Raw genomic sequence first — 23,381 nt, 5'->3', positions numbered from 1 at the left:
TTAGCCAGGATGGTCTCGATCTCCTGACCTCCATGATCCATCCGCCTCGGCCTCCCAAAGTGCTGGGATTACAGGCGTGAGCCACTGCACCCAGCCCCATACCATTTAATTTTAAACCTCATGCGTGTGTGCAGGTTAAATGGCTCCTAGGTTCCATTCCCGGGTGATGGGTGGGAGGGTGTTAAGATTTATTTGTTATAGAAAGGGGCCCTGGGGTCTCCCGCAGCCGCGAGCTGGGCGGTCCTCCCGGCGCCAGGGGTCGCTGTAGCGCCGCGCGGCCGCGCCGGGTCGCTCTCGCGTGGCCGCCCCGCCTCGGGCCCCCGGGCCGAGTGGGCGGGCACGACTGCGCCCAGGTCGCGAGGCGCCCTTCGACCAGCAGCGCCCGGGGCGGGCGGGTATAAATGGAGCGGTGGCTCCCTCGGCCGCCTCTCTCCGCCCCGGGTCGCTGCCGCCTCCGCCGCTTTCGGGCTTCGCAGCCTGAGGAAAAAAAGAGAAAAAGATAAAAAAAATCTGAAAACGCTTCAAAATCCTGAAAAAAAAAAAGGAAAAGAAAAAACGAATCCTCGGAGAACCCGCGGGGAAGTCACTTTCGTACGCTTCCGGCCTGCCCCGCGCCCGCCGCCGCAGCGCTTGGCGTCCGTCGGTCTCCGTCCGTCGGTCCGGGGGTGAGCCGCCCGCCCGGCCCGCCGTGCCCTCCCCCCGCTCGGGCCCCGAGCCCCGCGCCCCGCGCCTGCCCCGGCGCACCACGTGTCCGTGCTGCCCTTCGCCGCCCGCCCGGGGCTCGCCGAGTCGGCGCCCACAAAGATTTGGTTTCCCTCTGCCCCGGCGGTTGTAATCTTAAACCGCCGGAGCCCGAGGCCTATATTTATAGAGAAACGCGTGTCCCCGAGGCCGCCGTGGGCAGCGTCCGGTCGCCTCTTAAAGGATTTTTACCCTTCGGAAGGGGATTCCCCGTTTAATTTTTTTCCTACTTTGATTTTTTGAAATTTGGAGCTTCGCACCAGGACCGCGGAGAAGTGCAAAGTCGCGGGGAGGGCCGTATTGTGCGGAGAGCCTTTTGTCTGCGGTGCTGCGGCCGTGGGAGCCGGCCCCCGCCTCCCGTTTCCGTCCCGTCTCCAAGCCCGCCGACTCCAGCTCGTCCTCGCCGCGCCGGTGCCACCTGTGAGCCGCGGCGCGGGCCCGGGCTCCGAAGGCGCCCCTTTGTCCTGCGGCGGGCCCGATAAGAAGTCCTCCTGGCGGGGCTCGGGGTGGTGGGGGGCGGGGAGATGAACGCTGCGGCCAGCAGCTACCCCATGGCCTCCCTGTACGTGGGCGACCTGCATTCGGACGTCACCGAGGCCATGCTGTACGAAAAGTTCAGCCCCGCGGGGCCTGTGCTGTCCATCCGGGTCTGCCGCGATATGATCACCCGCCGCTCCCTGGGCTATGCCTACGTCAACTTCCAGCAGCCGGCCGACGGTGAGTAGAAGCTGTGCCCACACGTGCGTGGGAGCCCGGAGGACCCCGGGAGTCGTCTTCTGGCAGGGCCCTCCTGCCGAGGAGGGCGGCATCACGACAGCATGTTGCCACCGAAGCTGGGAGCAGGGTGCGGAGATTGAGAACGCGGACCTGGCATCAGATGACTCGAGTTTCAATCTTGTTTCTACCACTTGCTAACTGGGTGACCTTGGGCTACTTATTAGTGTTGCTGGTAGTGGGGTTGGAAACCAAGGAGACTGTAAAACAGGATTAGAGTGAAGCCACTGGCATTCCACTGCGTGTGGTCCTTGTCAGTGGGGCTGGGCTGTTAGAGATCCTTGCTTGTGCCCCTCACAGGCTGGCCAAAAAGGCGGGACGTTTGAAACACAATTCCCCGCGAAAGTTTTACATTGTAAAGCTCCTGCCCGCTCCGCCACCTTTACTAACCTTGACTACCTGATGTTGTGCTGATAAAGGATCAGTCAGGGCAGGCAGGAAGCAGGGGGAAGGTTTCTGTGCGTTAAACTTTCGCAGAGACTTAGGTTAGTGCCACAAAAGCTGCGTGTGCCAGGCCACCTCCTTGGTCTGTGTGTTTGCCACTGGAGTGGAGAAGTGCTTTACTCTGGACAAATGGTATCCAGGCTCTGTGCTGTAGAGTGTCGTGGAGGTAGTTTAGGGAAGCGTCACTTGAAAATCTGGTGTCATTTGTCACCTCAGCTGTAACAGTGCTTTGCACTAGTCAGAGCCCTTTTATTTCATCTAATCTGAAGAAAATGGGACTCCTGAGAAGGAGAACGAATGCAAAAAGTTGGAAGCCAAGTTAGGACTCCCAGCACAGTGCTCTGCCACCTCAGATTGTGGCCTTAGCGTGGAGCATGGAGAGAGGTATGCTGCAGGCGTGGCAGGAGGGAGGCCAGAGGAAACCTGATCAGAGGCTGCACGTGACTCCAGATTAAAAGGGAACAACTGCAGAGATCATTACTGGGAGAAACAAGCCATTCTATGGCAAAGCATCTCCAGGTCCCTAGTTTTGGGGTCCCCCCTTTGTTTTCTGTCTGAGGCCCAGAGTTACTACCTGCCCAGGTTGCGGCTGAGACCAGAGAATTGGACATGTTGAGAGGGACTAGGTATTGCTACTGTCAATCCAGTGTGCTCCAAGCTGAGTTCTGTCCATGGCCATAGGAGCGCAAAGGTAGCTGAGTGTGGTCTTTTTAAGGGATAATGTACCACATTAGCTGTTGTCTGCCTTACTGACTTTTGAACAAAAGTCGTGTCACTTAGAGATAGCAGAAGCTATTGGTCAGTGTGTCTGCCAACACATACTTCTGCAGGACTTCTCCCTGCTATAAATAAGTGCAGCCAGATTTGTCAGACTAAGCCGGCTTGCCTTGTGCAGTGCTGTCTGGAAATAGACGAGGAGCTGTTGTTGAAGTGGGCTCCTTTACTGCTAATTAATGAAATAGTTTGCGATCCCAGCTATCTATCTCTGATAGCCATCACAAGCAAAGTCCTCTTTCCCTGGACTGTTCCTGACTTGGATCGGTCTTGTCATCTCCCCTTTTCCCAACTACCCCCCACACAGATGAGGCCCACCTTCTGAAGGGGGTGGGGAAAGTTGTTGGAAATAATGAGTGAAAATAAATTCTCCCGGCTAATGAAACAGTTGAGCTTGTGGAGCGGCAGAGTTGGGGAATTTTGTCCCCCCTTTAAGTGAGATGTTGTCCTGAGGCAAGGAGCAGGTTCCACTGCTCTGACCCTGTCTAAATCCCCTCATGGAGGAGGTTCTGGGTGATGTCACCGTTAGGAGATGCCATCATAGCCTTAAGGAAAAGTGGCCACCAGATCTGGGCATCCTTGTTGCGATTAGTGATGAGAAGTGTTTTGGCTGGCAGGTGGTGTTATTTTTTAGCTTTTGGTTCTTTTTGTTGTTGTTTGTTTTGAGACACTGTTTCACTCTTGCTGCCCAGGCTGGAGTGCAATGGCGCGATCTCAGCTCACTGCAACCTCTGACTCCTGGGTCCAAACAATTTTCCTGCCTCAGTCTCCTGAGTAGCTGGGATTACAGGCACCCGCCACCATGCCCAGCTAATTGTGTATTTTTAGTAGAGATGGGGTTTTCACCATGTTGGTCAGGCTGGTCTCGAACTCCTGACCTCAGGTAATCCACCCGCCTTGGCCTCCCAAAGTGCTGGGATTACAGGAGTGAGCCACCATACCCAGCCCAGCCTTTGGTTCTTTAAATTGTCTCTGGTGTACACACGGACTTGGTTGGGAAGCTAAGGAAGCATTCCAAGGTGTTGGATGGGGAAGTTGGTTGAGCACCCAGGGTAGCTGAAGTCCTAGAATTCTACAGAACTTCCATTAAGGCTTCAAAAGGTGGGTGCAGGGCCTGCCATCTGCGCACTGTCTACTTAGGCAGAAGGTATGGTGGTTTTATCCTTGTGATAGTACAGAGAACTTTTCCATGTGTGATCAGTTGTGTCCATTTTGATGACTGATGCTTTTTTGTTTAAGTCAATTTCTGTTCTCAGAAATTGAAAATAAACTGGACTGAATTCTGAATTCAGGGATAGCACCTTTTTTTTTTTTTCCAGATCATTTGCTTTACAGGTTTTGTCACTTGTCTCCATAGGTGGATTGCAGACTAAATGACTTGATAACTTTGATGCAATACCTCACTGAAAAATAAATCAGATAATCTAGTATTAGTTTCGTAATTACTAGCTAGCTGCACAGCTTAGTTACCCTAAACATAAGTTTGTTCATTTTGTAAAATGTATAATTTCAGCTGTCCCACCTGAGTCATGGTGGGTGGTAGTCTGCAAAGTCTCTTCTAAGTGGTAAAGCTTAGTCAAATGTGAGGTATTATCACTGGATCTTGGTGTCATTAAGGCCATTTAGATTATCTTTACTTGTGGCCCCTTTATCCAACAAGGGCACAGACCCAGAAGGGTGTTTAGACTTCTGTCATGAAGTAGAGTCATTAGCTGGAACTTATGCTTCCCTTACTAACAGTGCAGGCTGGAGGAATCTGATGCCCTTTTATTTTAATAGAGTTGCCTTTTATCAAGAGTGATTACCTTGAAAAGTCCTGGAGTAATCTGTTCTTAGGCTGTTGGCCTGTGGGAGCTGACGTTTTCTCTCCTTATTGAAATGTGTTTCTCTCTTACAGCTGAGCGGGCTTTGGACACCATGAACTTTGATGTGATTAAGGGAAAGCCAATCCGCATCATGTGGTCTCAGAGGGATCCCTCTTTGAGAAAATCTGGTGTGGGAAACGTCTTCATCAAGAACCTGGACAAATCTATAGATAACAAGGCACTTTATGATACTTTTTCTGCTTTTGGAAACATACTGTCCTGCAAGGTAAACATTGATTAAATGATTTTAGCAGAATAATTAATTGATTCTTGAAAACAAGATAAATACCAAACAGAGAACTATCTTGGAATTGGGGAACAAGATATGGGAATTTTCAAAATGCTGGACATGGAATCCTAAAAGTTCCCATAGGTAATCTCAGGGCCATACCCAGCGTAACCAGCACACGCTTTCATACCCTTGTTCTTTACTCAGCCTGAAATATCCTTCCTATTCTTTAGCTTTGGAAAGCCCACGTTTTTCTTTTGGGATGGGGGAAAGTAGAGGACCAGAGAAGTGTCTCTAGTCTTGAGGAAACTTAATCACTTTAGAAGCATAAATTCACTCTATTCCTTCTACGTATCTGTTCTATGCTGAGCACTTTAAAACTTAAACGGTGGTGGTGTATATGTTTAATGCCATACTACACTGAAAATCTGTTGTGGCCTTGGAAAATGTTTTGTTTTCTGCATCACCGTGGTTTGCACCCAGATCTCTTAAAATGTGTTGTTGTGTTTTAAAGAGACAGAGTCTTGCTCTGTCTGTCACCCAGGGTGGAGTGCAGTGGTCTAGTAATAGCTCATTGTAGCTTCGACCTCCTGGGCTCAAGCCATCCTCCCACCTCAGCCTCCCAAGTAGCTGGAACTACAGGCACGTGCCACCACACTCATTTAATTTTTTTCTTTTTTGTAGAGACAGGGTCTCCATTGTCCAACGATCTGGCTCCAACGATCCTCCTGCTTTGGCCTCCCAAAGCATTGGGATTACAGGCATGAGCCACAGCACCCAATTTTAAGTATTTTTTGTTTGTTTGTTTTTGATAAAAATAAAACATTTGGAATAGAAGCATCTTAGTAGGGCTACCTTTGTAAATGGAACACTTACTAGGCACCTGGTGCTGTGCTAGGTGTTAGAAAAATTATACTGGTGTACTTGACCACCATTGGCCATGGATGGGCTAGAGTCTCCTCAGGCACAAGATACCCTGAGGTTCTCATGTCTCAGGAGCTGGCCAGTTCTGCTAAAGTGGTCCGCCTTGTCTTTGACAGGTGGTGTGTGATGAGAACGGCTCTAAGGGTTATGCCTTTGTCCACTTCGAGACCCAAGAGGCTGCCGACAAGGCCATCGAGAAGATGAATGGCATGCTCCTCAATGACCGCAAAGTGTGAGTGTCCCAGTCCGGAGCAACAACCATCGCATGAGCCAGCCGTGGCCCCACCTCGCTATTAACTGGCACACACAAGGCGGCTACTGGTTCTCGGCCCAAGTGTGGCCTGCTCCTACCTCTCCACTCCAGGGCTGGTGAGTCTCCCTGCCTGAGCCGTGGCAGCCCTTTTGACTCGCCAAGGTGGGCTTCCTGCCCAAGCCATGGCCTGCCTGCCGCCTCTCCCTTAAAGGCATCTGTCTGTGGGTTTTGTGAGCATCAACAACTGGGGCTGGCTGGAAAGCAGCTCTAAGCTCACTCTGAGTCGGGGTCTTGGCCAGCGGCAGAGTGGAGAGGGCCCTGGACTGACCAGGAGCTGTATACTAGCAGTGTGACCTTGGCTTTCCTGTGATTCAGGTCTGTCCATGGGTCCCTCGCTAGTGGTTGATGCCAAATTGTCCCCGCGGTTCTCCATTTTCTAACTTATGACTCAGTGACCTAATACAAGGCTGGCTCCACAGTAATACTTGGTGACAATGAAAAAATCCCATCCCTTTGCAGAAAAACTTCATAACAGACCTTGTTGCTTTGATGTGGTTGTTACTGTAGAATGCAGAGAGGGGGAACTTACCAAAGCCATATGGGGAGAAGAAGAGACAATAAGTCTTGGCTATTACAAGCCAAAATAATTTTTGTCCTTTGTGTCATTCAGTATGCCAGAGGATGGGTTATCTTTATAATGTCTGTGTGTGCAGTGGTTGATCTACAGATATCACTAAAAAGAAATACAAAAATGTCAGTGCATGGATAAATTTTCTTTTAAGTATAACAGACCAAAATAAATAAATTTAAAAAGCAAAGGGTGCCCCTTCACTCCAACAATCTCATATCTAGGATTAACCACTGTTAACAGTTTGGTTTGTATCCTTCCAGACCTTTTCTATGCATTTACATAGTTGCACAGAAATGAACATTTTAAAAACATGGCCATCAGGTTTCTTCATGAAGGCAGTGTGATGTGGTAGGAATAGCCCTGGTCTAAGCCAGGAGCCCTGGGGCTGGTCCTCACAGGATAGTCCTGCCTTTTTCTCTTTCTGCTGGGGACTTGGGGTATCTCTGAGCCTCCTTGGTGGTGGATGGGGATCTCGTGTTTTAACCTCTCCTGTCAGTCTTTAACCTGTATTCCTTTGGGTCCCTGGACATCATGTTTTATTCCTCTGGGTAATTACTGTTCTTCATGGTTTCATTTTAGATTTGTGGGCAGATTCAAGTCTCGCAAAGAGCGGGAAGCTGAGCTTGGAGCCAAAGCCAAGGAATTCACCAATGTTTATATCAAAAACTTTGGGGAAGAGGTGGATGATGAGAGTCTGAAAGAGCTATTCAGTCAGTTTGGTAAGTTGGGGTTCCTTGTCTCCTTTCACAGTCTACCAGACCCATCTGTTTTTTCTTAAGAGATGAGGGCACTGCTCCAGAGATTTGCTTCAAGTGAGTTTCCAGAGGGAAGCCTTCTGTTCCTGAGCTGTGCTCAAGATGGTGTTACTAATAGTTCTGTCCTTTGGTAATAGGTAAGACCCTAAGTGTCAAGGTGATGAGAGATCCCAATGGGAAATCCAAAGGCTTTGGCTTTGTGAGTTACGAAAAACACGAGGATGCCAATAAGGTGAGTATACCACAAAGATTGGGAAAAGCTTTTAAGAGGTTGCCCCAGAGTATGGGTAGGGTCTTGCTAGCACCTACCTAGAGCTGGGACGGTCTGAGTATCTGGTAGTAGATGTACCATTACTATACTCTGGGATCATCTTCCTGGGTTCCGCATGTTAACTTCATGTAGGTGTTTACAAAGCACTTGGCACATACCTGTCACCTCAGCTATCAGTTGTTGAAAGAATAGGACAGACGTTTGTTATGCTGCAAAGGTGAGAGAACTAAAGCCCAGTGAGTGCTGATTTGATAACAGCACGGCAGCTACTTGTGGGCAAAGCATTGTGCCAGACCCTCAATATTTATCACTTAAATACCCACAAAAGCACCTGCAGAATTTACTGGCAGCCGGAATATTATATCGCCCTAGGCTCATGTCAGCACACTTGTGTTTATACACCTGTACTATTTCTATATTATCTGGATCAATAACCCATTTAAATATTAACCTCACTTTACAGATGAGGAAGTTTGGATTTGTGTGACAGACTTCAGAGGTGGAGTGAATTTAGTTTTTAGTCCTATAGTAGAAAGAATATTTTTTGGGACTTAGACCTCCAGAATAAGACCCCATCGCTGCAACTTTATTTTAAAGACATATTTTTCCTCTCTAGGCTGTGGAAGAGATGAATGGAAAAGAAATAAGTGGTAAAATCATATTTGTAGGCCGTGCACAAAAGAAAGTAGAACGGCAGGCAGAGTTAAAACGGAAATTTGAACAGTTGAAACAGGAGAGAATTAGTCGATATCAGGTAAGGTGGTCTTGGCCCAGCCTAGCAATGGGATTTGCTGTGAAATATTTGCAGAACACCCCTATGTTTAGCGGGCTTTCTTTTTGAGGACTTGGAGTGTGTTCTTCTTCCCATTTTACCTAAAAAGATGAGGTTTAAAAGGATATATACCTACTACATATGACTGATTATTATAGAACCAGAAACAAGAGATGGGTTTATTCATCAAGAAGCTCTCTATTTTGGAAGCCTCAGCCTGTTGCTTTTAGCCATGTAGGTTCCTTTTACTTAAATGAGACTCCTTTGTTTGGCATGGCTTCAAGAAGACCCCTGCTGGGGTGGGTGAGTGGTCACCAGAACAGCTGTGGGGAGAGGTGACAAAAGGTGAGTGCACTGATGATCCTGTCAGTTTCAGGGCAGTAGTTTCACAACTTTGGACTTGCATCAGATTCATCAGCAGAGCTTGTTAAAACAGATAGCTGGGCTCCAGCCCCAGAGTTTTTCTTATTCATTGGGTTTGGGGTCTGGCCTAAGAATTTCATTTCTTTCTTTTTTTTTTTTTTTTCTTGAGACAGTCTCGCTCTGTCGCCCAGGTTGGAGTGCAGTGGCACAATCTCGGCTCACTGCAAACTCCGCCTCCCGGGTTCGCACCATTCTCCTGCCTTAGCCTCCTGAGTAGCTGGGACTACAGGCACCCGCCACCATGCCTGGCTAATTTTTTGTATTTTTAGTAGAGACGGGGTTTCACTGTGTTAGCCAGGATGGTCTCGATCTCCTGACCTTGTGATTCGCCCGCCTCGGCCTCCCAAAGTGCTGGGATTACAGGCGTGAGCCACCGCGTCCGGCCGAGAATTTCATTTCTAACAAGTTCCCAAAGATGCTGGTGCTCCTGGTCTGGGGCCACCCTTGGGGAACCACTTTCTTAGGGAATATTTGTGATATAGAAGTGTAGTTAACAGTGATCTTTTTCCTTCAGGGGGTGAATCTCTACATTAAGAACTTGGATGACACTATTGATGATGAGAAATTAAGGAAAGAATTTTCTCCTTTTGGATCAATTACCAGTGCTAAGGTATTATACTGCGATCTGGGGATTGAAAGCAGTGGTATTCCATTATAGGCTTATTGGCATTTGTCCCATTGAAGGAATAGCATTTAAATTATGTTCATTTCTGAAAGTAGCTACTACGTTTTTCTAGCAAAATTTCTGGATGCATTCTGGAGAATGACATTTCATTAGGTTAACATTACACTGTTTCCCAAGCACTGGAGTCTGGAGAGGAATTTGACCCAGCCCCTCCTTGCCAACTCAGAGCACCTGAATCTTTCCCATTCCTTGCTGCCTCGTGCCGGTGTGGGGACAGATGGTGCTACAGAATGAGCAGAGGAAATCCAGACAGGTTGTTTTCCATTTGTCTTGGGGCCTGTCTCTACAGCTCTGCCACATTTTCTCCTTGAGAATGAAGGTATTTTGAAGATTTTGGAGGTGGGCTTGGGAACTTCTACCCTGGTCTTAAAAAGAGAGGAAAGGGGAGTGGAAGGTTTTTCTATGTTTCGTAGTGTGCATCATTTGCTTGATTTTCTTTGATAATCATATCAACTAAGTTAGCAGGGTAAGTAGGAACCTCATTTTAAAGATAAGGAATTTTAGTCCTTGAACAAGAGAATGCTGACTACATGGGGATGGTGTACTGCTTGTCCTTGGCACTTTGGGAGCAGGATGGAAACTGGTGCCATCTGAACATTTTGAGTTATGGCCGGATGCAGACGCCGGTCTTGCTAAACAGGTGTACCAGATGCCACAAAATCCTTTAGTTGATGAGAAGGGAAGCCACGTGGGCTGGTAAGGGCTTAGTGGCCCTGCCCTGGCTCTTAGTGGACTTTGCTCCCAACCTGGGAATGTGGAAAGCAATGTTATCAGTTGTAGTAGGGAGTTGGCCAGAGGCCAACTGTGGGTTTGCCCAGTTCTTACCCTTTCGTTTTTGCTATGACCCCCCCCTTGACTGGCCCTCATCAGTGTAAGGAGTGATCTTCTATCCTTGCTTATCTGCCTAGTAGTCAAGTTGGCATTTGTTAAGAGAGCAGAAGAGCCATACCTTGAATTGTCCCCATTTTCATTATGATGGTGTGGCATTTTTATTCACATACCTTACTGGCCCATCTCATTGGTAGAGAGTTATGGAGTGATGCACTTCTTTACTTCCCTATCCTCCACTTCAGGAGGCTCTCTGGGCCATTAACTAAGACATAAAACAATGACAGTCACACCAGAGAAGACAGTGAATAACCTTGTCTATTAGGAAGAATGCCATTTGTGAATGATGAACTTAATGTGGGAAAAGACTGCCTGAACCAGTAGACCTGTGGTTTTGTAGCTGTTTGGAGTATTTCTTGGAAATTGAGCCTCAGGAAGGCAAGTGAGACTAGAATCTAGGCTGCCTATCTCTGAGCTGGTCATCTCATTGAATTAATGGTGGCAGTCATTGGTTACCTGAACATTTTAGGACTCCTGTCCACACGTGGTATTCCAAAAGTGTTATCCTGACGTTGGTAAGAGCTTGTTAGAGTTTGTCCACCGAGGTCTTGAAGCATATGAGATATGAAAATAAATTGCTCAGTACTACTCTCAAGATGTTTTGTGGTTACCCGGAGTAGCTATCCACCAGGTATCAGGAAACATCTTTGAGTTCCTGGTTTTATTATTAGCCATATCATAGTGTTTCAGAACTTTAGCATCACCTGGGGACTCAAAGAAAACACCTAGATACCTTAGAGGTTGTGACTTAGTTGGTCTGGGGTAAATCCTGTGCCAGAACCCTGACCTAGACTCAGTGACTGCAGCAGAACCCAGGCTTTCTGGTTCTTCTGAATAGTTCCCTCCCCACCCAGGGACATCCTTTTTTTTCCTATTTGTAGGTTTGTTTTGTTTTTTTTGTTGGTTTGGTTGGTTGGTGTTTTTGTTTTGTTTTGTTTTGTTTTGTTTTGTTTTGTTTTGGAGATGGAGTCTCGCTCTGTCGCCCAGGCTGGAGTGCAGTGGCGCGATCTCGGCTCACTGCAATCTCTGTCTCCCGGGTTGAAGCGGTTCTCCTGCCTCAGCCTCCTGAGTAGCTAGGATTACAGGTGTGTGCCACCACGCCCAGCTGATTTTTGTATTTTTAGTAGAGACGGGGTTGCACCATGTTGGTCAGGATGGTCTTGAATTCCTGACCTCGTGATCCACCCACCTCGGCCTCCCAAAGTGCTGGGATTACAGGCATGAGCCACTGCGCCTGGCCCTTTGTTTTTTTGAGATGAGGTCTCACTACATTGCTCAAGCTGGTCTCAACCTCCTGAGCTCAAGCAGCCCTCCCACCTCAGCCTTCCAAAGTGCTGGGATTACAGGCACAAGCCATCACACCCAGCCAGGGACACCTTATTTCTTAAGTAGCTGGTCTCATTTTGTAGGTAATGCTGGAGGATGGAAGAAGCAAAGGGTTTGGCTTCGTCTGCTTCTCATCTCCTGAAGAAGCAACCAAAGCAGTCACTGAGATGAATGGACGCATTGTGGGCTCCAAGCCACTATATGTTGCCCTGGCCCAGAGGAAGGAAGAGAGAAAGGCTCACCTGACCAACCAGTATATGCAACGAGTGGCTGGAATGAGAGCACTTCCTGCCAATGCCATCTTAAATCAGTTCCAGCCTGCAGCGGGTGGCTACTTTGTGCCAGCAGTCCCACAGGTGGGTGTGCTGTTTGGTCACAGCTCTTGGGAACCTGCCGGCTGGCAGTATTCTGCAGTGGTTGGGGAGAGGGATTTTTCGTTATTAGAGTTCTAGAATGTCACAATAAGGACCCTTCAAGTAAAAATGAAGGACTTACCCATGGTCACAAACACACACCCACAGTGGCAGTGGTAGCATAAAACAGTCCCCATTAGCTGACCCCTCAGCTCTTGAATAGAAAGAACATTTAAATAATTAGCTTAGGTCCTGGTTAGTGAGATGAGATGAGATACTTCTCTAGGATGGGTTCAGTCCTTAAGGGGGTGTTTGGGTATTCTTCTGTCTTACAGGCTCAGGGAAGGCCTCCATATTATACACCTAACCAGTTAGCACAGATGAGGCCTAATCCACGCTGGCAGCAAGGTGGGAGACCTCAAGGTAGGTGGTGGGGAACAGTAATTGACAGCCCAGGATATACCTGTCCTGGTCTCCCCTGCCTTTCCTTCTTCCCCACTCTGAGGCACAGCCTAGGTTCTGGTCCACATCACTTCTCAATGATGTGCAATTTTTCTCTTCACCAGGCTTCCAAGGAATGCCAAGTGCTATACGCCAGTCTGGGCCTCGTCCAACTCTTCGCCATCTGGCTCCAACTGGTAATGCTCCGGCCTCTCGTGGCCTCCCTACTACCACTCAGAGAGTCGGTGAGCAAACTGGCCTTTAGAAGTGTGGCCTGGGGAGGAGGGAGTCAGGATGACTAGGCTCTGTCCTGGGTTGGTCAGTTTGTTGGGCTCGAATTTATCGAGTCCTGGTTCTGTAATCTTAGCTGTGTGCTTAGGTGGCCACTTCAGGAGCAGAGAAACAGTATGAGTTCTAGGTGTGTCAGTTGCTTTTAACATTCTTTGCTCATCGGTGACCTATGTGAAAAAGGTTAGTTGTAGAAGTTTGCTAGCTGGATGACCACAGAGGCAGCTTGTTCTTTTGGGTGGGGTGAGGAATACAAGGAAACAGTGTATACAGAATATGTCTTGTATTCCAAGATGTGGAAAGAGTTGTATGTTATCCTTTGGCTCATCCTCGAAAGTAGTAGTGGCCCCCTGTGCAATGTGTTGCGTAAACGTGCTTTGAAATTTCTCCTTCCGTGGGACGTGGCCAGTTGGACATCTGCCGCCAACACTGATGTGCATTTGCTGGTCTGTTGTAGGGTCTGAGTGCCCGGACCGCTTGGCTATGGACTTTGGTGGGGCTGGTGCCGCCCAGCAAGGGCTGACTGACAGCTGCCAGTCTGGAGGTGGTATTGGATGCACACAGAAGGGGGAAAGATGGGATTTGACGGGTCTTTGCCCAGACTGATGGGCTTTAATTGTATTTGTTCTTTCCCTAAGGCGTTCCCACAGCTGTGCAGAACTTAGCGCCACGCGCTGCTGTTGCTGCTGCTGCTCCCCGGGCTGTTGCCCCCTACAAATACGCCTCCAGTGTCCGCAGCCCTCATCCTGCCATACAGCCTCTGCAGGTGAGGTTCACCAGACAGAATGCTTAAAAGGATTTCCCCCATTTCCACTTGATGTAAAAGAAGCTGTGCTTTTGATTCCTTCAACAGGTATTAAATGCCTGCTCTGTGTTATGACGCTATGTTCTGATTCACTGTCCCTGCCCTTCAGGGGCTCACTAGTGGGAAAGAAGGGGCTTAAAAGTGCTCTGCCTGATGCCAGTTCACTCAGAAATGCCTCAGAGCGGGCAGCCAGTGCTTCCTCTTCTGTTTGTACGAAATAATGTGCTCATTCAGCTGTTTGAGCCTCCAGGTCACTTCCGCATCCAATGACCTATTGGATCCTTGGCTGCTCTGCAAGATGATTGGTACATTAATGCAGGAAATAACTTCAACTTACAGATCGGATGTTCAGCTTCAAAGATGTAAAGTGTGTGTAGGAGGTGAAGGGGTTGAACCTAGAGCTTAGATTTTCTAAGCTGTAACTTGCTGTCTCTAGACCTGTGCTCTAGATGCAACTAGTTTGTTTCAGAGCCTAATAGCAATTTGCTGTGGAGGTGTCACCCTAAGCCTTCAGGCCCATAAGCTGCTTAGGAGATTACTCTTTAACTGTCCTGTCTCATACTCTCTAAGTTGGGGATTTCCTAGAACTTGATGCTATGTAAAATACCTTTTCTTTGCAAGGCTTTGACTAGCATTGACGTTGCATGTTGACCGTTTTTAAGCATTTGATACAAAAACATTTGGTAGAATTAAGGTGATGTGGAATGTAATTATAAATGTGTTGATATTTACTCCCTTTGATCCAATCTGCACTGAGATTTACCCTAAAGGAAAACTAATTTTCAGGAAAAGGTTATATACAAGTGTTTACCCTTATTTATATCAAGGCTTTTCATTCTTGAGTAACTTTGGGTGTATTAAGGAAATGTCAGAAAATGCTTGCCTAGCACTATAGGTTTGTTTTATTATTTACGTTTCACTTCGCTTTCTGATAGCATGCCATTTTCATTGTAATTGGTTGTGTTTATGTCCATACCACTCTGTTCCTCAACACACCCCTCAATCCTTCAAGGACTGAAATTAGTTCCTTTAGAGCAAGGACAGCCACCTCCTCTCCTCTTTCACATAGTCAGATGTTCAGATATTGAACAGGCACTCAACCACCATCAGGTGTTGTCCTTTCCTCAGTGCTAACCCACTGCCTTTCCTGGTTCCCAGGCACCCCAGCCTGCGGTCCATGTGCAGGGGCAGGAGCCACTGACTGCCTCCATGCTGGCTGCAGCACCCCCCCAGGAACAGAAGCAGATGCTGGGTGAGTGACCCACTTGCTTGCAGAAGAAGAGGGTCCCAGAGCCTGATGCCAGCTAGGACACCAGTGTCCATTGTTTACTGGGATTTGATTTGTTTTTTTATTAACTATCCTCCCCATAGGAGAACGCTTGTTCCCACTCATCCAAACAATGCATTCAAATCTGGCTGGGAAGATCACGGGAATGCTGCTGGAGATAGACAACTCTGAGCTGCTGCACATGTTAGAGTCCCCCGAGTCTCTCCGCTCCAAGGTGAGCTGGGGCTCAGACCCTGCAGCTTCAGTTCTCAGCTTGGGAAGACTGGGGGCAAACTTGGATGCCCAGGTGCAGCAGAAAGTGGGATCTGCTGCCCCCAGGACCCCTCTCGTCATGCCTTGACTGTGACTGGAGGCTGCAGTGGGTATTTGGGAAAGTAGTTAGCACCAGAAGCCTAGGGATCATCTGTACAGTTGGCTTTGGTCCACCACTAGGTCTGGGCACTGGGGAGGGGTGGAGTAGCTCTCCTAGATTCACTGACCACCTGAAGATTTCTCGCAGGTGGATGAAGCTGTAGCAGTTCTACAGGCTCATCATGCCAAGAAAGAAGCTGCCCAGAAGGTGGGCGCTGTTGCTGCTGCTACCTCTTAGACAAGGAAAAACCGTATGTGTGGCTATTTTCATTTTTGTTCCTATGAGCATTGTTCCTATGAGCATTGTCTTTGTGGTTTGACCTGAGGTTGTATATATGCTCACTGCTTAGCTCTGGGAATACAATAAGTACAGTTAGTTACACGGAGTGTGTTGCAGGTGACTTCTTATCATGAGGACTGTGGACTTTGTCTGCAGGAGCTTGAGTGAATAATAAAACTAGTACTGGTTGATGGTTGTAGGTGTCTCCAGATAGGGAAAGAAGAGACAGTAAAATAAGCTAAGGAAAAAGCACATGGTAAGGACCAGAGCTGGTGTGTTGGGAGGGTTGACTTGGCATAGTCATGACCCTCTTGTCAAGGGCCTCAGGAGCCTTGTCATCTAGTGGTAAAGACCAGAGATGCTGCTAAATGTTGTACAGTACACAGGAGGACAGACCCAACAGAATGTCCAAAGTGTCAATAGCACTGAGGTTGAGAAACTCTCTTCTAGAATACCTTCCTTTATCCACTATATGTTAATGAATCTAAATTATTTGATTATGCATTTATTTGTGTTGGTGCTTTTCTTTACAGGATTCAAAAGCCAAATAACCCCTTATGGAATTCAACTCAAGGTTTGAAGACTTCCTAGCTTGTCCTATGGACCTCAACACCAAGGATTACAAATTGCAAATTTAATAGGTCATTTTGTATCAAAAGGTCAATTATGAAGCACCTAGAATTTTTCAATTATACGAATATGTTCTTTGGGTTCTGCTGTGGCCCAGACAGTGTTAACTTTTTTTTTATTGTGGGTTTTGATTTTTTCCCCCAGAAATTGGTTTTATTTGATGTACCCAAGTCTTACGTTTCCCAATAAAGAAAAAAAATCTCCATAAAACTGCCTCTGTCTCTGACCACAGTTTTACTCTATGAATTCCGGTTTTCACTGGAAGTAACTTTAGGATGTGAATTGGTTCCAGTGATAGTTTATTCTTTCTTGACTTGAAGCTGACAAAGATTAGCAAGATACACAGAACTGTTAAATATGATCCTGTCCCACACTGTTCTGTTACAGTATGATTGTTACATTAGCCCCATTTAACTTAGAGGGAACAGAGATCTGATGTGGTCAGAGCAGACCATGGGTCTGGCCCAGGAAAATCTGGGGCAGAGTGGGGTTGGCGCACACCCCAAGGACATACGGTGAGATCTGCAGATCCCAGTTGGTTAGTTGAGCCCCGTCCTTCCCTTCCTGAACTCGGTTGGGGTGTGTCCTGTCCCCTCTTATTTCCTGCAGTCAGTTTATGCTGCATTCGAGTCAGCGGATCCAGTTCCCCAGATTCTGCAACCAAGTTTTCCCCTAGCAGGGAAAATGGGAGGTCTGTGACTATAGCAAATGGTGCTGAAGTCTTCAGTGCTTGTGGTTTCTTTGATGTTCAAAGTGACAGTAAAATGACATCCTAAAGGCCAAGATCACATCCCTTTGCAGCCTACTTTCCCTGCGGCTCCAGCCTTGCCTGCTTTCCCTCCTGGAGCTTGCTTGGTGCTTCCTTAGTGCCCCATCCAGGCAGTCCTTAGAATGCTCATCCCTCTTGGCAGGCTCCTTTAGATCTGGTGTCACCTCGGCTGGGCACAGTGGCTAACGCCTGTAATCCCAGCACTTTGGGATGCCGAGGCGGGCGGATCACAAGGTCAGGAGATCGAGACCATCCTGGCTAACACGGTGAAACCCCGTCTCTACTAAAAATACAAAAAAAATTAGCCGGGCGTGGTGGCGGGCACCTGTAGTTACAACTTCTTGGGAGGCTGAGGCAGGAGAATGGCGTGAACCTGGGAGGCGGAGCTAGCAGTGAGCCGAGATCGCGCCACTGCACTCCAGCCTGGGCGACAGAGCGAGACTCCGTCTCAAAAAAAAAAAAAAAAAAATCTGGTGTCACCTTAACAGATCTAAAGGAGATGTCCTTGTTTCCGGACGGCCCCTTCTTTCCTTAATCTGGTGCCGGATGGGGTGGGGCACGGTGCGGGCTTCCGGCGGAAGCGCTGGAAGCAAGATGGCGGCCGCCGAGAGGGTTCACAAAGGGTAGGGTGGTGTGGAGCAAGGCAGGGTCCTCGCAGGCAGTGCCAAGATTGAGCTGGGGGTGGGCAGAGTGGGCGGGGTGCGGACCCATGGCCCTACGCATCCTGGGCCAGGTCTCTTGTGGTGCTTCACGCTCTCGACCTGTGAGTGGTGCCTGCTAGAGCTGCCCAGATCCCTTTTCCCTACCCCTTCTGACCCTGGACCCAGAGTGGTGGTTGCGATCTGCTACCGTGACGTCAGCCCTCATTCGTTCGTTCCACAAACTCCACAGCTCTGGTCCATTAGAGGAAGGAGGTCCCAGAATAGCTGGGAAATTACGAGAACAGCCTCACTGCACGAGTTGGTGAATGCTGTGATGGCGATTGTATGATGGACGGTGATGTTGAAACCAGACTGGGGAATGACCGCCCCATCCGGAGAGGTGAGGGTAAACTTTCGGGATGCTCTGAGTCCAGAGATGGGTTTGAAAGATGCAAAGTTAACCAAGCAGCCAAGGTGGGAGCCAGGCTGTTGCCTGAATGGAGACAAGCAGCGAGAGTCAAAACCCAGAGTCTGGCCATACTTAGTATATGCTATACTAAGAAATGTGGATTTTTCTCCGTTGGCCATTGGACTGCTTTTGAAGAATACCAACCAGAAGAGTAATATAATCGTATTTGTATTTTCTTGGGATAACGGAGGAGAGAAAAAGAAGGCGATCCCATTCAGGAAATTGTCACCATAAACCAGGGCAAAAAATGTAGGTCAGAAGAGGGATAGGGAGAGGAGTGTATCTCACAAGTGGTTTTGTTATACCCAGAAGAGTATTGGGACCCCTCCCTTCCTCTCCTCCCTGTGCTCATGTTAACAAGGTGTTGGAGCAACTGCACCAAAAGTGTGGAGACATTGATTCAGAATGCTCTTGGTATCTGCAAAGGGGGTGAAGGACAGTTCTTTGTGCTACTTTTATTCCTTTTGGAAACATCACAGATATTCTGATTCTGCTGTATTATGAAACAGGTGACACTGAAAAGTCCCTCTTAAGATTCCTGATGCCAGGAAAATAGGAAAAAATTTTAAGTCATGAGCATTCTGTGTATGGCTGGTATATAATGAATTTCAGGGGGATGTCTCTCTAGGTCAGCATGGTGGTGATCTTGGAGATGGAATAGGAAGGTTCTGAGGACAGCAGAGCTAGGATGATGGTGTGGCTATGGGTTGAAATTTACAAAAATTAACAATCTGGCTGGGCGCGGTGGCTCACACCTGTAATCGCAGCACTTTGGGAGGCCGAGGCGGGCGGATCACGAAGTCAGGAGATCGAGACCATCCTGGCTAACACAGTGAAACCCCGTCTCTACTAAAAATGCAAAAAATTAGCCGGGCGTAGTGGCGGGCGCCTGTAGTCCCAGCTACTTGGGAGGCTGAGGCAGGAGAATGGAGTGAACCCGGGAGGCGGAGCTTGCAGTGAGCTGAGATCGCGCCACTGCACTCCAACCTGAGTGACAGAGCCAGACTCCGTCTCAAAAAAAAAAAAAAAAAAAAAAAAAAAAAAATCTGTTGGATTTGAGGTTAGACTTTAAGTTGGAACCATTTGGGGGCTTTGATTTCTCATCATTTAATATAAAAAGTGTATAGTAAAAAGGCCAGGCGCGGTGGCTCACGCCTGCAATCCCAGCACTTTGGGAGGCAGAGGCGGGCGGATCACGAGGTCAGGAGATCGAGACCATCCTGGCTAAGACGGTGAAACCCCATCTCTACTAAAAATCCAAAAAATTAGCCGGGCGTGGTGGCAGGCTCCTATAGTCCCAGCTAATCGGGAGGCTGAGGCAGGAGAATGGCGTGAACCCGGGAGGCGGAGCTTGCAGTGAGCCGAGATCGCGCCACTGCACTCCAGCCTGGGTGACAGAAAGAGACTCCGTCTCAAAAAAAAAGTGTATAGTAAGAATCAGGAGGGTAGTCTTAGAATAAAATTTTTTTTTTTTTTGAGATGGAGTCTCATTCTGTCACCCAGGCTGGAGTGCAGTGGCGCGATCTCAGCTCACTGCAAGCTCCGCCTCCCGGGTTCACGCCATTCTCCTGCCTCAGCCTCCCGAGTAGCTGGGACTACAGGAGCCTGCCACCACGCCCGGCTAGTTTTTTGGATTTTTAGTAGAGACGGGGTTTCACCGTGTGTTAGCCAGGATGGTCTCGATCTCCTGACCTCGTGATCCGCCCGCCTCTTCCTCCCAAAGTGCTGGGATTGCAGGCGTGAGCCACCGCGCCTAGCTCTTAGAAAAAAAATTTTAACGTTTGGTTCTTGTTTCACATCACCTGCTGGTTAGGTGTACTCTACCTTATCTGCCCACCCGAACTCCCTTCCTGGCGGCTGTGCTGTTAAATAGCAGAGTGTAGCAGGGAAGCTCAGCCTCAGCAGTGAAGCCTTGGCCTCTGCTTACCTGGTTAAGTTTTTCTTCAATTGGTATCACAATTACAGTGCAAGTTTCTATTTGATCTTTTGTTTTTATTTTCTAGGTTAGGAATTTTAGACCCAGTTCTGCTACTGACTTTCTGTGTGGACACAAACTCACTGAGCCTTCAGTTCTTCAAATCATTTTTTTTTTCTTTTTTTTTTTTTTTTTTGAGATGGAGTCTCACTCTGTCACCCAGGCTGGAGTGCAGTGGAGCGATCTTGGCTCACTGCAACCTCTGCCTTCTGGGTTCAAGCGATTCTCCTGCCTCAGCCTCCCAAGTAGCTGGGACTACAGGTGCCTGCCACCACCCCCAACTAATTTTTTTGTATTTTTAGTAGAGACGGGGTTTCACTATGTTGGCCAGGCTGGTCTTGAACTCCTGACCTCGTGATCCGCCTGCCTTGGCCTCCCAAAGTGCTGGGATTACAGATGTAAGCTGCTGTGCCAGCTTTTTTTTTTTTTTTAGAGACGGGGTCTTGCTCTGTCATCCAGGCTGGATTGCAGTGTCATTGATCATAGCTCAAGCGGTCTTCCTGCCTCAGCCTCCCAAAGTGCTGTGATTACAGGTGTGAGCCACTGCACCTGGCCTCTTCATATCTTACAACGGTAAGACTAGCGGGTTCAGGAGCCCTTCTATCCCTGAGTTTTTTTTGTTTTTGTTTTTGTTTTTTTTTATGGAGACAGAGTCTGTCTGTGTCACCCAGGCTGGAGTGCAGTGGCGCGATCTCGGCTCACTGCAACCTCCGCCTCCTGAGTTCAAGCAGTTCTCCTACCTCAGCCTCCCGAATAGCTGGGACTACAGGCACACACCGCCATGCCCAGCTAATTTTTTGTATTTTAGTAGAGACGGGGTTTCACCATGTTGCCCAGGCTGGTCTCAAACTCCTGAGCTCAGGCAGTCCGCCTGCCTCAAAGTGCTAGGATTACAGGTGTGAGCCACCGCACCCAGCCTATCCCTGAGTTTTATAAAGTAGTAATTCCTACTACTCTTGGTCTCTCCCAGCTAAAATAAGTTTTTCCTGGGAACGAAGACTATGATGCTCCCTTCTTTAGTAGTCACCTGACCCAATGGTAAGATCAATGCTCTATACACAATTAAAGCTTTTTTGGAATTAATAATTGTTAGACCAACAACTTTTTCTATTTCTGTAAGTTTTATAAACAAAGGTCATCAAAGTGCTTGGAAAGCAACTTCAGGTTTTACGTTCTATAGTGGTACAACTGAATTTTATTTTATTTTAATTAGTTAATTAATTTATTTATTTTTGAGATGGAGTCTTGCTTTGTCACCCAGGCTGGAGTGCAATGGCGTGATCTTGGCTCACTGCAGCCTCTGCCTCCTGGGTTCAAGCGATTGTCCTGCCTCAGGAGCTGGGACTACAGGCGCCTGCCACCATGCCCAACTAGTTTTTTTTTGTATTTTTAGTAGAGATGGGGTTTCACTATGTTGGCCAGGCTGGTCTTGAACTCCTGGCCTCGTGATCCGCCTGCCTTGGACTCTCAAAGTGCTGGGATTACAGGCATAAACCACTGCGCCTGACCTATATTTTTTTTTTAGAGATGGGGTCTCGCTCTGCTACCCAGGCTGGATTGCAGTGTCATTGATCATAGCTCAAGTGGTCTTCTTGCCTCAGCCTCCCAAAGTGCTGTGATTACTGGTGTGAGCCACTGCACCTGGCCTCTTCATATCTTACAACAGTAAGACTAATGCATTCAGGAGCCCTTCTATCCCTGATTTTTTTTTTTTTTTTAATGGAGACGGAGTCTCTTTCTGTTGCCTAAGCTGGAGTGCAGTGGCGCGATCTCGGCTCACTGCAACCTCTGCCTCCTGGGTTCAAGCAGTTCTCCTACCTCAGCCTCCCGAATAGCTGGGACTACAGGCACACACTGCCACGCCCAGCTAATTTTTTGTATTTTAGTAGAGATGAGGTTTCACCATGTTGCCCGGGCTGGTCTCAAACTCCTGAGCTCAGGCAGTCCACCCTCCTCAAAGTGCTAGGATTACAGGTGTGAGCCACTGTGCCCAGCCTATCCCTGAGTTTTATGAAGTAGTAATTCCTACTACTCTTGGTCTCTCCCAGCTAAAATAAGTTTTTCCTGGGAACAAAGACTATGATGCTCCCTTCTTTAGTAGTCTCCTGACCCAGCGGTAAGGTGAATGCTCTATACACAGTTAAAGCCTGATAGGAATTAATGATTGTTAAACAACTTTTTCTATTTCTGTAAGTTTTATAAACAAAGGTCATCAAAATGCTTGGAAAGCAACTTCAGGTTTACATTCTATAGTGGTACAACTGTATTTTATTTTAATTAGTTAATTAATTAATTATTTTTGAGATGGAGTCTTGCTTTGTCACCCAGGCTGGAGTGCAAAGGTGCAATCGAGGCTCACTGCAGCCTCCACCTCCTGGATTCAAGCGAGTCTCCTGCCTCAGCGTTTCAAGTAGCTAGGACTACAGGCGTGTGCCACTGCACCCAGCTAATTTTTGTATTTTTAGTAGAGACAAGGTTTTACCATGTTGGCCAGGCTGATCTCAAACTCCAGACCTCAGGTGATCTGCCTGCCTCAGCCTCCCAAAGTGCTGGGATTACAGATGTGAGCCACTGCAGTCAGCCTGAATTGTACAAAGTTTAAAATTAGTTCATTGTTTATGTATATTTATTTAAAATGAAATGACTAATATTTCTGGATGCGTTGCTGAATAAACCAAGAAAAATCTAAAAATTTGACTTTCATTTTGTAAATGACATCTGGATATGGCGTGTTTCCTCCTATTGCTCACATATTAACAACCCATTTCTGCTTTTGCAGAAAAGCACCAAGGATTCTCTTTTGTTGAATTTGAGTTGGCAGAGGTAAGAAGTTTTCCTTTTAATATTTGACTAGTGTCACTCTTGTCATTGATTACCAAAGGTGTCAGTCTGTTTGGATGGATGTGGTAGTTTCCTTGGGCTGTTGTAACAAATTATCATACATTTGGGTGGCTTAAAACAACAGAAATTTATTATCTCACAATTCTGGAGACTAGAGGTCCAAAATCAAGGTGTTGGCAGGGCCATGCTCCTCTGAAGGCTCTCAGGAAGACTCTTTACTTGCCTTCCTGGCTTCTAGTGGTTCCTCACAATTCCTTGGCTTGTAGTATCACTCTAGTCTCTGCCTGTCTTCACATGGCTTTCTTCCTTGTATGTGTTTCTGTCTTCTCTTATAAAGATACCAGTCATTCAGTCATTGGATTTAGGGTCCATAACAATTCAGTATGACCTTTTCTTAACTAATTACATCTGTGAAGGCCCTACTTCTTTTTTTTTTTTTTTTTTTTGAGACAAGGTCTCACTCTATCACCCAAGCTGGAGTGCAGTGGTGTGATT

General features: G+C 47.6%; 1 protein-coding gene, 1 long non-coding RNA gene, 1 other non-coding gene and 1 pseudogene across 10 annotated transcripts in view, besides 6 other annotated features; 3 read left to right on the top strand and 1 right to left on the bottom strand.

Moving 5' to 3' along the window:
* Window positions 173–482: a silencer, noted in NCBI's record as "silent region_703". NCBI's record gives its function as "represses an Ori minimal core promoter by ATAC-STARR-seq in GM12878 lymphoblastoid cells {active_cell/tissue: GM12878}" and the evidence as "EXISTENCE:reporter gene assay evidence [ECO:0000049][PMID:35858748]".
* Window positions 427–16,401, top strand: PABPC4 (poly(A) binding protein cytoplasmic 4). 3 transcript variants are annotated; one of them, NM_003819.4, is made up of 16 exons: window positions 427–1,458; window positions 4,631–4,824; window positions 5,868–5,983; window positions 7,215–7,354; window positions 7,528–7,622; window positions 8,278–8,415; window positions 9,371–9,466; window positions 11,839–12,111; window positions 12,444–12,531; window positions 12,675–12,746; window positions 13,295–13,381; window positions 13,476–13,603; window positions 14,801–14,894; window positions 15,014–15,144; window positions 15,430–15,532; window positions 16,095–16,401. In NM_003819.4, exons 1-15 carry the CDS (start codon window positions 1,266–1,268, stop codon window positions 15,517–15,519), a joined length of 1,935 nt encoding a protein of 644 aa, NP_003810.1. In that variant the 5' UTR covers window positions 427–1,265; the 3' UTR covers window positions 15,520–15,532; window positions 16,095–16,401. The 3 variants fall into 3 exon arrangements, with proteins under 3 accessions (NP_003810.1, NP_001129125.1, NP_001129126.1); NM_001135653.2 differs by having other exon boundaries at window positions 12,675–12,794; NM_001135654.2 differs by lacking the exon at window positions 13,295–13,381 and having other exon boundaries at window positions 12,675–12,794.
* Window positions 983–1,052: an enhancer, noted in NCBI's record as "active region_814". NCBI's record gives its function as "activates an Ori minimal core promoter by ATAC-STARR-seq in GM12878 lymphoblastoid cells {active_cell/tissue: GM12878}" and the evidence as "EXISTENCE:reporter gene assay evidence [ECO:0000049][PMID:35858748]".
* Window positions 1,553–1,602: an enhancer, noted in NCBI's record as "active region_813". NCBI's record gives its function as "activates an Ori minimal core promoter by ATAC-STARR-seq in GM12878 lymphoblastoid cells {active_cell/tissue: GM12878}" and the evidence as "EXISTENCE:reporter gene assay evidence [ECO:0000049][PMID:35858748]".
* Window positions 1,623–1,742: an enhancer, noted in NCBI's record as "active region_812". NCBI's record gives its function as "activates an Ori minimal core promoter by ATAC-STARR-seq in GM12878 lymphoblastoid cells {active_cell/tissue: GM12878}" and the evidence as "EXISTENCE:reporter gene assay evidence [ECO:0000049][PMID:35858748]".
* On the bottom strand, window positions 4,014–12,147 carry PABPC4-AS1 (PABPC4 antisense RNA 1). The gene is made up of 4 exons (NR_125979.1): window positions 11,998–12,147; window positions 6,594–6,737; window positions 4,539–4,762; window positions 4,014–4,136 (listed from the first exon to the last, which is right to left on the bottom strand). It is a non-coding gene; the product is annotated as a PABPC4 antisense RNA 1 (long non-coding RNA).
* Window positions 5,621–6,120: an enhancer, noted in NCBI's record as "H3K4me1 hESC enhancer chr1:40036769-40037268 (GRCh37/hg19 assembly coordinates)". NCBI's record gives its function as "activates a minimal SCP1, AML or CMV promoter by ChIP-STARR-seq in primed H9 embryonic stem cells {active_cell/tissue: H9 hESC(primed)}" and the evidence as "EXISTENCE:reporter gene assay evidence [ECO:0000049][PMID:30033119]".
* Window positions 6,121–6,622: an enhancer, noted in NCBI's record as "H3K4me1 hESC enhancer chr1:40036267-40036768 (GRCh37/hg19 assembly coordinates)". NCBI's record gives its function as "activates a minimal SCP1, AML or CMV promoter by ChIP-STARR-seq in primed H9 embryonic stem cells {active_cell/tissue: H9 hESC(primed)}" and the evidence as "EXISTENCE:reporter gene assay evidence [ECO:0000049][PMID:30033119]".
* SNORA55 (small nucleolar RNA, H/ACA box 55) lies at window positions 9,707–9,843 on the top strand. The gene has a single exon (NR_002983.1). It is a non-coding gene; the product is annotated as a small nucleolar RNA, H/ACA box 55 (small nucleolar RNA).
* A 1,117-nt stretch (window positions 16,402–17,518) lies between the features above and the next one.
* PPIEL (peptidylprolyl isomerase E like (pseudogene)) overlaps window positions 17,519–23,381 on the top strand; it is a 37,419-nt pseudogene continuing 31,556 nt past the window's right edge. For 3 of the 5 annotated variants that reach the window (NR_144354.1, NR_144357.1, NR_144356.1), the window contains exons 1-4: window positions 17,519–17,583; window positions 17,852–18,001; window positions 20,479–20,618; window positions 22,825–22,868. The product of NR_144354.1 is annotated as a peptidylprolyl isomerase E like (pseudogene), transcript variant 2 (transcript). Of the gene's footprint in view, window positions 17,584–17,851; window positions 18,002–20,073; window positions 20,619–21,015; window positions 21,084–22,824; window positions 22,869–23,381 lie in introns of all 5 variants that reach the window. The other 2 variants (NR_144355.1, NR_003929.2) reach the window with 2 other exon arrangements.

The sequence above is a fragment of the Homo sapiens genome, chromosome 1, assembly GCF_000001405.40.
Source record: "Homo sapiens chromosome 1, GRCh38.p14 Primary Assembly".
Classification (NCBI taxonomy): domain Eukaryota; kingdom Metazoa; phylum Chordata; class Mammalia; order Primates; family Hominidae; genus Homo; species Homo sapiens.
The sequence above is the reverse complement of the archived record's forward strand: the minus strand, read 5'-3'. Positions and strand labels throughout refer to the sequence as shown.